This window comes from Homo sapiens, chromosome 5 (genome assembly GCF_000001405.40).
Source record: "Homo sapiens chromosome 5, GRCh38.p14 Primary Assembly".
NCBI classification, from domain to species: Eukaryota; Metazoa; Chordata; class Mammalia; order Primates; family Hominidae; genus Homo; species Homo sapiens.
The window spans coordinates 180,199,163-180,214,496 of NC_000005.10; the positions used below are offsets into that span (position 1 = coordinate 180,199,163).

A 15,334-nucleotide genomic window follows, 5' to 3' on the forward strand; every position below is an offset into this window, starting at 1 on the left:
GAGAAGCATCACATTCTGCAATTTTAAAACAATTCTGACTCAAAATGCTTAGCCTGCATTGAGTTTTTAGGAAAGAGTCTGACAAATCCGGATTGTGGGAGAAAATGGACGCAAGCTTTCTACAGGAACGACAAAAAGCATGTGGAAGTCCCGCTGTAGATTAAAGGGATCAAAAAGACACGGCAAACATCCAAGCCTTCATCACTGACCGGATCCTGGATATTAAAATAAGGCCAGAAAGGACACTAAACAACTAACAACTAAACAAACAACTAAACAACTTCCTGACCAAATGACCCGGGGAGATATTTCCTCTGCAGGGGCACTAATTAGCTGATTCCAAGGGTCTGCACTCCGTCCCACGCTTAGCGACATCCACTGCACGTAAAGCAGAAATGCACCAATTAGGATGCTGGTGTGGGACCGGAAGGCCCTGAACTGGTAACAGTGGTGTCAGCTTATTCAAAATTCATAAACCAAGGTGACCTCTGCCTTCCCTCCCTCTCTCCCTCCCTTCCCTTCCCCTCCCCTCCCTCCCTCCCTCCTTCCTTCCTTCTTTCCCGGATGGGATCTTGTTCTGTAGCCTTGAACCCCTGACCTCAAGCGATTCTCCCACCACAGCCTCCCAAAGCGCTGGGACTACAGGTATCAGTGATCTCACCTGGCTCATATTAAATTTCTTGAACGTGCATTCAAATTGTGGTTTCCTAGAAGAATTTCCGTGTTCTAAGGTGATGCTGATGTCTTGATTCCTGTAGCTTACTCTTAAATGGCTTAGTAAAAATAATGAGCAAATGTTCCAAAGTGTTAAAAATCGGGTCGGACGTGGTGGCTCACGCCTGTAATCTCAGCACTTTGGGAGGTTGAGGCGGGTGGATCACAAGGTAAGGAGTTCAAGACCAGCCTGCCCAACATGGTGAAACCCTGTCTCTACTAAAAATACAAAAATTATCTGGGCACGGTGGCATGTGCCTGTAATTCCAGCTACTCAGGAGGCTAAGGCAGGAGAATTGCTTGAACCGGGACCTGGGAGGCGGAGGTTGCAGTGAGCTGAGATTGTGCCACTGCATTCCAGCCTGGGCTACAGAGCTGGAAAAAAAAATTGATGGATTTATTTAATAGATGAAGAGATGAAGAGTACATCATTCTTTTTTTTTTTTTTTTTGAGATAGAGTCCTGCTCTGTCGCCCAGGTTGGAGTGCAGTGGCGCGATCTAGGCTCACTGCAAGCTCCGCCTCCCGGGTTCACGCCATTCTCCTGCCTCAGCCTCCCGAGTAGCCGGGACTACAGGCGCCCGCCACCACGCCAGGCTAATTTTTTTTTGGTATTTTTAGTAGAAACGGGGTTTCACCGTGTTAGCCAGGATGGTCTCGATCTCCTGACCTTGTGATCCGCCCACCTCGGCTTCCCAAAGTGCTGGGATTACAGGCGTGAGCCACCGCGCCCAGCCAAGTACACCATTCTTTATGGAGCTTTTCAAGTAAAAAGGCTGCAGACATCTCTAGGTCCCCAGAGATAATGGTGGCCACCTGAATCCAATCCTCTCCTTGGTAAAAGCCAATATGGACCAAGCAGGAGAGCAAATAAAACCATCCATGCCCATGCCTCCAGCATGAGTAGGAGACAGGGCGCGCGCTCCTCTAACTGGTGTGGGCGAGGAAAGCCAACCTTCAGAACCGGCTCCAGGGCCCACGCTGGCATTGGTGGGGTGAGGGCTCAGGGAGAGGCACTGTGGGAATGAGGAGAGGGGAGCTGGGACCAAGAACTATGAAAAAAAGAAAGTCCTTTAGCCAAGTGTGGTGGCAGGTGCTTGTGGTCTCAGCTACTCGGGAGGCTGAGGTGGGAGGATCACTTGAGCCCAGGAGTTGGAGGCTGCAGTGAGCTGTGATCGCACCAGCGCACTACAGCCTGGGTGACAGAGCGAGACCTTGTCTCTAAATAAAAACAAGAAGAAGAAAGTCCCACCCTACATGGGGAAACAGAGCACGCCTGAGGGTGGGTGTCAGAGCACTGGCGGCTGGGGAACTGAAAGGAGACAGCATTCGAGCCCGGAGGTGGCTGTCTCAGGAAGGCCCTGCTTCTAGGGGCCAGGCATGTGGCCTGGAAGTAGAGGCAGCCTTCGGAGGCTTGCTAGTAACAGACAGGAAGTAGCAAGCCTGGACATTCAAGGACCTACGGAAGCAAAAGTGAATATTGTAAACTCAGAAAACACAAGTCCACTCCCGCCTCCCAAAGCACAAGAAAATGGTGCACTTCATAACAACAACAGGAGAGGGCGCTCTTACACTAAGAAACCTACTACGGTTCCCAAGCCCCCAGCTCCTGCCTGCAGCCATCTGTTACCACCAGTCCAGGCAAATTAAGACATCTCTAAGTTAACAGATAATATCCATACAAAGCCAGTATAAAGAGCCGACACTAATCCTTCCCACAAACCCCCAATTTACAAAGGGAAAAACCACACGCAACACCTCAACTTGAATTACCTAATGCTATGGTCTGGAAGTTTACGTCCCCCAAAATTTATAATGGAAACGTAGTCCCCAGTGTGATGGCATTTGGGGGCGGGGGCCTTTGTGACGAGATTAGGTCTCGAGGGCAGAGCCCTCATCAATGAGATTAGTGCCCTTAGAAAAGAGGATCCAGAGAGCTCCCTTGTCCCTTCCTCCATGTGAGGGCGTGAGGAGAGGAGCCATCTGCGAACCAGGATGCGGCCCTCACCAAATACCTTGATCTTGTACCTCCAGCCTCCAGAACTGTGAGAAATCGTTCTGTTGTTTGTAAACTAACCCAGTTTCTGATACAGATGAACAGATGAAGACACACTAAAAATTCAGACACATGAAGAAAATCCCTACATTATACATTCAAAAACTCAACAGAAATGGACCCAAAAAAAGGTAAATGTGAAATTAGAGTTGCCTGAACTCATGAAAAAAAATGAGGAAAAGACCATCATCTCAGAAATGAAGACTGAATTAGAAAATCTCTTAGGGAGAACAGATTTGACTAAAAGCTTAATAGTGTTCATTAAGGAAATTAATGAAAACAACCATAAAACAAAAATAAAATTCATAGAGAAAGCAATCTAGAATACAGATGAAAAACAGATCTAACACAAACATATTATTGGCATCTCTGAAGAAAAAAGGTAAAATAATGGTACATAATATTTAACACTATAATCTAAGAAAATGTTTTAGAAATAAAAGAAGACTTAAATATGCATATTCAAAGAGTCCCCCACGTACCTAAGATCATTTCCAAGAGAATGCCTAGTAAAATGATTAAACTTTAAAAATAAAGAAAAAAAATTCTTTGGAGCTCCAGAAAAACAATCAAGTCACTTACAAAGGAAAGAAAGGCATGTTTATATCAGACATCTTGTCAACAATGTACAAGCAATACAACCCATAACAACATTTTTAAAAATTTAGGGACAGAAAGTAAGAGGCAAGGATTTTATAACCTGCCAATCTATCCTTCAAGTAGCAAGAGTATAGAAAGCAAGCAAGCAGGAAATAACAGTACTCACAAGTCTTTCTTTTTTTTTTTTTTTTGAGACGGAGTCTCGCTGTCGCCCAGGCTGGAGTGCAGTGGCACAATCTCGGCTCACTGCAAGCTCCGCCTCCCGGGTTCACGCCATTCTCCTGCCTCAGCCTCCCGACTAGCTGGGATTACAGGTGCCCGCCACCACGCCGGGCTAATTTTTTGTATTTTTAGTAGAGACGGGGTTTCACCGTGTTAGCCAGGATGGTCTCGATCTCCTGACCTCGTGATGCACCCGCCTCGGCCTCCCAAAGTGCTGGGATGACAGGTGTGAGCCACCGCGCCTGGCCAGTACTCACAAGTCTTTCTTAAGGAACCAACAGAAGCTAAGCTTTGTCCAGTCAAAGGGTGACTGGGAAAACTTTGGCAAAAATAAATATTAGTAATCAGAATCCAACATCCAACAGGCAGTTTCTATGGTGCTCACCGGCATGAGCTCTACCTCTTGGTGTTCATACATTTGGGACTGGGTGGGGCTTTTGACTTTCCTCTGACCAACAGACTATGGCAAAGATGATAGGATATCACTACTGGGATTATGTTACGTTGTTATATCATGTATGTCACGTTATACTATGTTATGTTTTGTTATGTTATGACTCTCTAGGGACTCTTTGCTGGCTTGATAGAGTAAGCAGTCATGCTGGGGAAGCCCATGTGACAAAGACCTGTGGGTAGTCCCGAGGAACTGGGGGTGACCCTAACAAGTTGAGGTTGGCCTCCAGCCAACATCCAGCCAAAATTTTAAGCTCTAAATATAACTACAAAGAACTAAATACTGCCAACAACCACATGAGTGGAGAAGCAAATCCTTCCCTAGCTGAGTCTCTACATGAGAACCTAGTGCTGGCCACCAGCAGTACTCAGCTAAGCCATGCCCAGGCTCTTGATTCACAGAAATGATGAGCTAATAAGCCATGCGTTGCTTTAAGCCACTAGGTCAATGATAACTTAGTACACAGCAATAGATAACTAATACAATGATATTGAAACATACTACAGGCTGGGCGCGGTGGCTCACGCCTGTAATCCCAGCACTTTGGGAAGCCAAGGTGGGAGGATCACTTGAGGCCAGGAGTTCGAGACCAGCCTGGCCAACATGATGAAACCCCATCTCTACCAAAAATATAACTTAACCGGGCATGGTGGTGCACGCCTGTAATCCCAGCCACTTGGGAGGCTGAGGCAGGAGAGTCGCTTGAACCTGGGAGGCAGAGGTTGGAGTGAGCCGAGATCATGCCACTGCACTCTAGCCTGGGCGACAGAGTGAGACTCTGTCTCAAAAAACAAACAAACAAACAACAACAACAACAACAACAAAGTGAAATCTGGGGGAAGACAAAAGTTATACATAGCTTTTTGACTGTGTGGGGGTCAGCATCCCTAACCTTCTCATTGTTCAAGGGCCAACTGTAATTGCTAAACTATATTCCATCGTACGGATATATATCTTGTTTATTTATTCACCAGTTGATGAACAACTGCGTTGTCTCTACTTTTCTGGCCATTATAAGCAATGCTGTTATGAGCATTTGTGTACAAGTCTTTGTGTGGACATTTCATTGTTTTCATTTCTCTTAGATTCCTGGGAGTGGGACTGTTGGGTCATATGGTATTTTTATGTTTAAATTTTAAAGAAACTGCCAAACTATTTTCTACATCATGTCCAAGTGGGACTTATTTCAGAAATGCAAAGATGGCCTAGTGTTAATATTCATACGTTTTGTGTCTGTTTACCTCAGCCTAGTCCCAGACCTGATATTGGGAAATCCATCACATGACTCATTATGCTACTAGTAATCAGGAGAAATATCAGATCATTATCTACATACATGGCTCTAACAAAGGTCAACACCAATCCTGATTTTTAAAACTGCCAATAAAATAGGAGTCAATGGATATTCCTCTATCTATCTATCTATCTATCTATCTATCTATCTATCTATCTCATCTATCTATCTCTTCCCATCCTAAAGTCAGCATCTTTCTTAATAGGGGAAGTATTAGAGGCCTTTTTACTAAGGTCAGGAACAAGGTAAGGAGGCCCACCACATCCAATATTTAATACTGAATTGGAGGTATTCAGCCAATTTAATTAGATAAAAGAAAGCATAAAAATCAGTAGAGAAGCAGTAAAGCTATTTGAATTTGTAGATGACAGAATGACTAACAGAATCAAAGATATGACTAACAACAGGCCGGTAATGGTGGCTCATGCCTGTAATCCCAGCACTTTGGGAGGCTGAGATGGCAGATCATCTGAAGTCAGGAGTTCGAGATCAGCCTGGCCAAGATGGCAAAACCCCGTCTCTACTAAAAATACAAAAATTAGCCTGACGTGGTGGCAGGCACCTGTAATCTTAGCTACCTGGGAAGCTAAGGCACGAGAATCACTTGAACCTGGAAGGTGGAGGTTGTGGTGAGCAGAGATCACGCTACTGCATTCCAGCCTGGGTGACAGAGCGAGACTCCGTCTCAAAATAAATAAATAAATAAATAAAAACAAAAAAAAAGACTAACAATAAAACTAACAATAAAAATTCAGGTAAGACAGAAAGATATAAAATAACATACACGAAACAGTAGCCAATTCAAAGATATAATTGAAGAAAAAACCATTTATAGTAGCAACACACAAGATAAAAATACTCATGAATAAACTTCATAAGAAATAGGAAAAACATATATGAGGAAAATTTCAAAACACTCCTAGAAGTAGTCTTGACAAACAGAAAGACATCTCTCAGTTTTGGATAAGATAACTCAACTTCATAAAGATGCCAATTATCCTAAAGTTAATATACAAGCCTAATATAAACTTAATACGCTCTCCTTCCCCGCCCGAACAGCAGCAACGTGCTGCAACAGCCAGGAAATCCTTGCAGTAAAAAGCGATGGAAGGAACTTGCCCACCACATGTTAAAACACAACAAGGAGAGTTGAGCCCAATCTCTCTCCTCTATTGCAATGGTCTTGAATAAAGTCCTCTTTGCCATTATTATAATATTATTATTATTATTATTATTATTATTTTGAGACAGAGTCTCACTCTGTTGCCCAGGCTGGAGTGCAGGGGTACAATCTCAGCTCAGCTCACTGCAAAATCTGCCTCCCAGGTTCAGGCGATTCTCATGCCTCAGCCTCCCAAGTAGCTGGGATTACAGGCATGTGCCACCATTCCCGGGTAATTTTTTATATATTTTGGTAGAGACAAGGTTTCACCATGTTGGCCAGGCTGGTTTCAAACTCCTGACCTCAAGTGATCTGCCTGCCTCAGCCTTCCCAAGTGCTGGGATTACAGGCGTGAGCCACTGTGCCAGGCCCTCCTTGCCTTTAAATATATTTTTTCTCTCTCTCTCTCTTTCACCAGTATGTGAACAGATGGAACAGACAGACCTGTGAGACACACTAGAAAGCCCAGAAACAGGCCCAGGGCTTGGATTTTTAGTGTATGAGAAAGGTGCATTTCAGATCACTGGAGGAAAGATGACCTTTTAAATAAATGGCTTTGGGACAGAGTGCCAGACACTTAGAAAAAGATTAAATTGGATGCAGAGACTAAGTACACAACTAAACAAATATTAGAAAACACAGATGATTGCTTTATAATTGGGCTTTTCATAGTTAGAAAAGTCTAAGTATGATTCCAAATCTATGTGAAAAGATGTCCAATTTCATTTATAATAATAGAAATATAAATTTAAAATACACTGAAATACTGTTTCTCAGCTCTCAAACCAGCGAGGCTGTGGGGAAACAGAAGACACTGTGATACATCGGTGGTGGGAATGCAAAACGGTGCTACCTCTTGACAAGGAATTTGGGACTAGCTAACAAAATAAATCCACATTCACTCCTACTTCTAGAAGTGTGTTCTAAATATACACCTTTGCAAACATTAACAATATAGGTGCAAAGTTATCCATTACTCCATTATTTTAAATTTAAAAAGACTTGGAAAAAAACAAAATTGTTCATCCAGAGGACATAATTTGAATAAACAATAATAGTACAGCCACAGAACGAAATACTATGTGAGTGTAAAAAAGAATGAGCCAGGTCTCCATGAACTGGTAAGAAGTTACTTTCAGGACATACTTCTAACTGAAGAAAAACCAGGAGCTGTACGGCTAACTTTTGTGATAATGCTTAAATGACTTGTTTTGCAGAAAGAGACACAGGAAGGATAAACCAGAAAATATTTTAAATGGCTCCCAATGGTGTGGGAACAAGGAAGAAGATGCAGGGGTGGGACTGAGACCTTTAAGGATAGCTTTTTAATAGTTCTGACCTTTAAACCATGTGTTTTACGTATTCAAAAAATAAAATTACATCCTAAAGTCTAAAGGAAAAAAAGCTCCAAATTGAATGCAAGTAGAAACACACGAAGCTAACAGTGTGTCCGACTGATAACGTCACCACACAGCACTCTGCCTGCACACCCGTGGAAATCCCGATGCTGACCTAGCAGGTTTTGGTTGGCTTCGGTGTGGATGCAGTCATTCTGAAACTCTTTCGGGGTGCATTGTGGAGCTAAGTAAATGATGAAATATATTCATGTTTGGGGGAATAAGGTTCTCACTGCAGGAGAAAGGGAAAGGAAATATTAATTTTTAGTAAAAAAGGGGCCTTGGCTTGGTCCACTGACAAGGCCTAGAGGCGGCGAGTGCACGCCCCACACTAAGCCCGGGTCCCACGCAAGGAACCAAGGCCCCTTGGACAAATGGCTGACTCTGGATCTGGGTCCAGGTACAAGTGAGAGCTGGAACCACCTCAGAGACTGGCGGGGACATGGCAGGAGGGTGCAGACCCCGGCCTGAAAAGGGCCAGGTCCCGGGCAGGGCCCCACCTCTACCTGGTGGCCTGCGGGCTCCCCCTCGCCAGTCCCGCCCTGGGCTCCGCAGCCCGTCCCTCTCTCGCCTGCCCTCCCTCTCCTGCCCCGGCAGTGCGCCCACCCGCCGCCACGGGCAGCCTTTCGACGCCCAACCTGCAAACCGCCTGGGGGCTGCCCAGGACGTCCAGACCCTGTAGCGTCTCAGCTCCAGCTCCGCCCCCTCCTGCCCTCAGGGATCTCACCCGCGCTGTTCCCCCGGGCTACCCGTCCATCACAGGCTGGGCTCCCCGCTCAGGACAGCCTCCCTGACCAGACGAAGGCTCCGCCGCGCCCTGGTCTCCCTCTGCCCCAGTCACCCTACTGCATGTTCTTCCCAGCACGCATAAGATCTTGGCCATGTCCTTGCTTTTGCCTTTGATTTCTTGTTTGGTGTCCCCTCCCACACCAGCTAGTGAGCACTTACGGGGGCAGGCAGCAGGCGGCACACAGTAGGCGCTCAATGAATGTGGCCAGTGAGTGGACAACCCTAGCCCCCCTCCACCGGTCGCCTGCACAGTGGCTGCACTATGGCTGTTGGAGCCAGTCTTACCAGAGGTGGGACCCCAGCGTTGCCACTCCATGGTCCCGCCCCTCTCTAAACCTCAGTTACTCCACCTGCCTGGCAGGCAGAGCTTCCCAGGACTCTTCTCAGGCTCCCGGGGCTCAGAACTTCTGTCTCTCCCACAGCCCCAGGAGGCAGGAGATACGGGCCCGGAAGAGCTCCACCAGCACCCCAACTTCCCAGCTCTGTCTTTCCCACAGTTTCCCACGCCCACGCTGAGCATGGGGCGGCGTCGCCAGCACCCTTCCCCAAGTCCCCCCAAGCATCGCTTTCCCAATCTAAATACAATGAGTGGACCAGGTGGTCCCTTGATGCCGTCCGCTGTCACTGCGTGAGGGACACACCCAGGACTCCCAGCAGACCCCACTGTTCTCGCAGGCCCTCTGATAGTGGCGCTGGTCCTTTCCTCAAATCCGATCCCATCCTCAAGGGTGACAGCACCCTCTTCCCCCAGGCGCAAGGCCCTTTCCCTTCTGCACGTGCACCGGCAGGTCTGCTTTCCCGTCCCCATTTCATAGACGGGGAAACTGAGGTCCGGTGCGGGTGGAGGCTTTGGTCTAGGCTGGCTCTTCCTGCCACTCTAGCGGCTGAAAGAAGCTTGCTCCTCGCGCCCAGCAGGGGCTGGCGGCGCGCGGCAGAGCTGGGTCTCCCGCCAGGTGGCCGGGGGTGTGCCCTCAGGGTACCCTACCCGCTACCCCCGCGCCTCCAGTCCCGGCGGCCGCGCGGACCCCGCCCCTGCTGACCCCGGCGCACGCTCCCGCGCCGCGCGCAGCCTCCCGCCTCCCGCCGACCCCGCCGCGCCGCCGGCAGCCCTCCCCAGCCCCCGCGAGCCCGCGCCCTTGCCCGCACCGCCAGGTGTCCCTCGGCCGCGCACCACTCACCGGCTCCCGGCGCGCCGGAACTCCGGGCCCGGCCCATGGGCAGCTCCCGGTGCGAGCCTCGGCGCCGCGGACCGGGGCGCCGCCCGCCGCCGCCGCCGCCGCCGCCGCCGCCGCCGCCGCCGCCCGACCGCCCGGCTCCCAGCGCAGCCCGCACGAGCGCCTGGCGGCGGCCCCGGAGCAACGCGGCGCTGCGCCCCCTCGTGGCACTCAGGCAGCGCGGAGCGGGCGGGGCGCGGGGGTGGAGCTGCGGGAGCCCGCGGGCGGCGCTGCACACCAGGGCCCTCCGTGCCCCGGCCGCGGAGCCAAGCGTCCCGCCCTGCGTTCAGGCCTCCGCGGCGGCTGGCCCCCCGCGCCAGGACCACCCGCTCGGGCCGTCAGACGCTGCCCTCCCGCGCGCGGACCCTGGCGGACTCTGCGCCCCAGCTGCCCCAGCCTACACCTCACCTGGTGGGCCTCTGGCGCCCCAAAACCCAGTTCACCCTCTCTCCTCAAGACTGGGCCCGGCCCGGTTCTCTGGACTGGCCACCTAGGTTGTCTGTGTCCCCCAATGGGACATCCCTGGGTGGACACCCCCCCTCCCCAACCTTCTCGGCGCTCTCCCGTGGCCCCCAGGGAGGGTGGACACCACTTTGAAGACACCGGGGTTCTGGGAGGATGGCGATGCATGATTTCACTTTTAGAAAGGGAGAGGGGCTCTAACAGGATCCAGTGGCCTCCTTGAACTGGGTCTTCAGTGAAAAGTTCCCTGGTTGGTCCCAGCATAGAGGTCAGGACACCTGTCCTCCTGTGTCCGCAGTTTGTCCCTTCCGCTGGGTTCCTGGTCTGGCTGACTTCAAGAATGAGCCAGGGACCTTGGCAGTGAGTGTTACAGCTCTTAAAGGTGGTGCGACGGTGAAACCCTGTCTGTACTAAAAATACAAAAAAATTAGCCAGGTTTGGTGGTGGGCGCTTGTGGTCCCAGCTATTCGGGAGGCTGAGGCAGGAGAAGGGCGTGAACCCGGGGAGGTGGAGCTTGCAGTGAGCAGAGATTGCACCACTGCACTGTAGCCTGGGCGACAGAGCAAGACTCCATCTCAAAAAAAAAAAAAAAGAAAAGAAAAGAAAAAGGTGGTGCAGACCCAAAGAGTGCGTAGCAGCAAAATGTCTTGTGAAGAGCAAGAGAACAAAGCTTCCACAGCAGGGAAAAAGACCACAGCCGGTCGCCGCTGTTGCTGGCTGGCGAGGGGTGGGCGGGCAGCTTTTATTCCCTTATTTGTCCCCACCCATGTCCTGCTGATTGGTCCGTTTCACGGAGTGCTGATTGGTGCGTTTTTACAGAGTGCTGATTGGTGCATTTACAATCCTCTAGCTAGCCAGAAAAGTTCTCCAAGTCCCCACCCGACACGGAAGTTCCAGCTGCCTTCACCTCACTCTGCTTTAGTCAGGACCTGCCTGATGAGATGTGGCCCAAAACTCAACCCAACCAGCTTGAGCAAAAAGCTGGTTTGTGGATCATAAAAAGCCAAGGTTTACTGCTTAGAGGAATGGCTAGATCCAGGTACTTAACCTATGTGCATAGAAACTGGCCTCCCCTATCTCCCAGTCTTTCTGTGGCAGAATGGCCCTGGGTTGACACCTCAGAGAGGGCACAGCTGCCTGATAGTTGCAAGGACAGCCTGCGGCTGCCACACACAGGCTCCGAGGAGCTGAGCTCAGGCCATTTCCAAAGACCTAGGGAGCAGGAATAGCAGGCCTGGGTGTCGTCTCACTAGAGCTGAGGCAGAGTTAGTCCTGTGTCAGCTTTGAGGATGGAGTAAGGTGCTGTTCCAAGCTTCCGTGAAGGCTGTTCCTGGAAGAATGGACAGGTTAAGAACAACAGTCCAGCCCATTTCTTGAACAGTTAGGGAAACTGAGTCCTGGAGAGAGCAGGCAGCTGCCTAGGGCATACAGATGTATTAGAATGAATGTGGGCCAGGTAGCTAGGCAGGGAGACAGCAGGGCTGGGGCCAGGGCCAGGGCCAGAGGCTGGCCCTAGGGAGGGTGACATCTGAGACCAAGGGTCAGGTGTGGGGAAAGGGAGGAGGAACAGAGGCAGGCACTTGGTCAGGGGTGAGCAGTGTGCTCCCAGCAGATAGACAGATGCGCCTCAGGGTGCAGGCACTGGGCCCTCCCTGCATCTTCTCCGATTATCACCCTATGCCCCTAAGCCTCAGGTCCAGTCCCAGGGTGTCGCCTGGAGGAAGCCAGGAGTCTAGGAGGAGAGGCCGCAAGAGGCACCTCAGAAGAGCTGACCCACTCAGCTGTGTTGTTCTGGGGTCTGGGCAGCACTGAGCGGCCCTCCTAACCAAGTGCAGGTCAGGGTGGTGAGGCCAGTCTTTCCCCAGCTCACCCTTGCTCTGTGAGCAAAGGCTGCTGTCCCCTGATAAAGAACTTTCTCCAGCAAGTGGCTGGGGCCACTGAAGCATGATTGCCCTGCTGGGAGCAGGGTAGGGGATGCTTGGATGAGGCCAGGGCAACTGGAACATGGGTGTGGACTAGCTCATGGCCACAGCTCCGTGTCCCACAGGGGTGAGGGTGGCAGAGCTTTGCTCTGGGACAAAGGAGAAGACCGTGTCCCCTGAGGTCTCCTGCGTCCTCTCCCTGCCAGACCCATCGCTGCCGAGAGTTGGGCCTGTGCTGAGGAAGACGCATGAGCTGCAGTCGCGGCTCATGCAACACCAGGAAGGTTTTTGAGCCTCGCGGCCAGCGTGGAGTTCTGCCCTGAGCCTCCAGCTTTGTGGGACCCTGGCTGCAGGTGCCACCACTGGGCCCTGGGAGGTATCTGCTCCCGCCCCCTCATAGCCCACCCAGGAGTGCCCTCTAGCAAGGAACCTCTCCTGCCCAGCCCCTACCCTGCCCACCCAACTTCTCACTCCAGAACGTGCCCCGGGGCTAATCCCTGAGTGAGGGCATTGGGACAGAGGGTGAGCCATCCCTAGGGCCGTCAACTCAGTCTCCCCTCACCCCACCACTGCCCTGAGACATCTATTGGGTGGACACTTACCTAGGGCCTATGTGTGCCGGGCACCATGCTGGGTGCTGGGAATATAGCAGAGAGCCCGACATGGGGTTCCTGCCCCCTGGAACTCATGGTTTAGAGAAGGGAGGCTGAAAACTAACCATACAAACAAAAGAGTAAAAACAATCATTTCGGAGAGCGCCGAGCGCCATGAAGGAAGCCATACTGGGGAGGTGGTTGAGTGCGGTGGGGCTGCTTTAGAAGGGAGGGCCCAGGAAGGGCCTCTCCAGGCACATCAGACAAGGCACTGGCCATACAGGGTCTGGGAAAAGCACCGTGGGCAGAGAGAATAGCAAGGGCGAGGCCCTGTGGCTGGCATGGACTTTGCATTGTTTTTGCAAAAAAGAGGCTGGAGCCAAGGTGGAAGGGAACAGGGCCAGGCAGGGTGTCCAGGTGGGCAAGGAGCTGGATCCTGTCCTCTGGGTGTCGACACAGGGGCAGGTGTGGCTGCAGCTCTGCCAGCAGCACCCCCAGCAGGAGGGGGTGGTGCTGTCCCCAGATGTAGGGGTCCTGACACCCATGAGGCCTTTCCCAGCACCTTCAGCCCCTGCGTAGCTGCCCCTGGCCTGGATGGCACATCCTGCACACGTGTGACTCTGGGAGACCTGAGTGTGCCCCACCAACGCAGCACTGGGTTAGTGGGGCTGGAGTCCTTGTTCACTGGGTGTGGCCACGAGGGACAGGCAGCAGGCCCACGAGGAGTTGGCAGGCAGGGGAGAGCTGATGAGTACAGACCTGGGCAGGGGGCAGGGAATGGGGCAGACCTGAGGGCTGTTTCTGGGGGAGAAGCCACAGGACTGGATGATGGGAGATAGGAGAATGTGTGAGAAGTGACAGCGATGGCAGGGGTCCTGGCAGGATGAATGGGGTACCTTTCCCAGGAGGGCGAGGAGCCCCTTCACAGCAGACAGCACCTGCTGGGACTGTGGGGCCAGGGGCATGTGGAGGAGGTCTGGAGGCAGCGGGGCCTGCGGGTGCCTGCCTGGTGCGGGTCCTCAGGGAGGAAGGAAGGACAGCACGGGCTCCAGCAGCTGCAGGCGCTTACGCAGAGCAGGAGCCTGTGAGGCCCTGCAGTACGTCTGCCCGGGATGCTTGGCACAGCCACAGCACGTGACTCAGGGAAGGGGCACCGGGCAAGGCTGCTGAGCAAGTTCACCAATAAAATCAGGAAACACTGAGGACAGAACTTTGGGCTCTGGCCAAAGCATTTTATTAGCCGACCCGTAACTCGTCCATTCTTGGTCTGGTGAAAACCCTCCAAAGTTACTGCAAGGGCAGAGCTCCAGGAGAAGTCATCCTATAGTCAGCCACGGGAGGGGGCCACATTTAATGATCCTTTACAGTCCAGGGCTGCCAACCCACTGAGCCTGGGCTGGGAGGAGCAAGAGAGAGGGTGTGTGTGTGTATATGGATTTGCACATGTGTGCATGCATGGTATATGCAGTATGTGTATGTGCACTTGTGTGAATGTGTGGTGTGTTCTATGCATGTGTATGCAGCACATGTGTGTAATGTGTGTGTGTTGTATGCTTGTGTATGTAGCGCTGTTTTGTGCACGTGTGTGTATATATGTGATGCTGTGTGCATGAGTGTGTGGTATATGCATGTGTGTGTTGTCTGCTATGCACATGTGTGTGTGCTGTGTGCATGTTGGTGCTGCGTGCATGTATGTATGTTGTGTGCATGTGCGTGGTGTATGTATGTGTTGTGTGCATGTGTGCTCTGCCTATGTGTGTGGTGCCATGTGCATTCTTGTGCTCTATGCATGTGTGTGGTGCTGTGCATGTGTGTGCTGTGTGCATGTGGGTGTGCTGTATGTGTGGTACTGTGTGCCTATGTGCTGTGTGCATGTGTGTGGTGTATGCATGTGTGTGGTGTATGTTTTATGCTGTGTGCCTGTGTGCTGTGTGCATGTGTGTGGTGTATGTTTTATGCTGTGTGCATGCATGTGCTGTGTGCATGTGTGTGTTGTGTGCATGTGTGTGTAGCGTATGCATGTGGTGTGCTGTGCATGTGTGTGCTATATGCATGTGTGTGCTGTATTCATGTGTGGGCGGTTTGTGCATGTGTGTGTGTGCTGTGTGCATATATGTGGTGCTGTGTGCATATGGTGTGCTGTGTGCATGTGTGTGTTGTATGCACGTGTCGTATGCACGTGTGTGGAGGGTAAGTGTGGGTCTGATCCCAATCTGGACTGGCCCAAAGATGAAGGAAAGCATCACAGATGGGATCCCCTGGGAGCAGAGGTAGAGATGTGGGTGCAGGTTGTTTATGTGGGGGGGGGATCCCAGGTGACCAGCCTGGTGGAGCCCCTTTGGGGAACTGCAGGAAGCATCTCGGAATTTCTCCTGCTGGGCAGAGGATTTCCCCCACGTCTCCTATGCTTTCAGGTTGCTGCTGCATGAAGGCTGAGGAGAGTTCCGGGGCTTAAG

At 51.4% G+C, this 15,334-nt stretch overlaps 1 protein-coding gene across 1 annotated transcript in view, besides 2 other annotated features; it reads right to left on the reverse strand.

The window, feature by feature from the left end:
* Window positions 1-10,049, reverse strand: part of RASGEF1C (RasGEF domain family member 1C) — a 108,417-nt gene extending 98,368 nt beyond the window's left edge. Inside the window, exon 1 of the mRNA NM_175062.4 lies at window positions 9,866-10,049. The gene's annotated coding sequence lies outside the window, so the exon portion shown is untranslated. The remainder of the gene's footprint in view (window positions 1-9,865) is intronic.
* Window positions 8,048-8,840: an enhancer, noted in NCBI's record as "H3K4me1 hESC enhancer chr5:179634210-179635002 (GRCh37/hg19 assembly coordinates)". NCBI's record gives its function as "activates a minimal SCP1, AML or CMV promoter by ChIP-STARR-seq in primed H9 embryonic stem cells {active_cell/tissue: H9 hESC(primed)}" and the evidence as "EXISTENCE:reporter gene assay evidence [ECO:0000049][PMID:30033119]".
* Window positions 9,965-10,184: a silencer, noted in NCBI's record as "silent region_16761". NCBI's record gives its function as "represses an Ori minimal core promoter by ATAC-STARR-seq in GM12878 lymphoblastoid cells {active_cell/tissue: GM12878}" and the evidence as "EXISTENCE:reporter gene assay evidence [ECO:0000049][PMID:35858748]".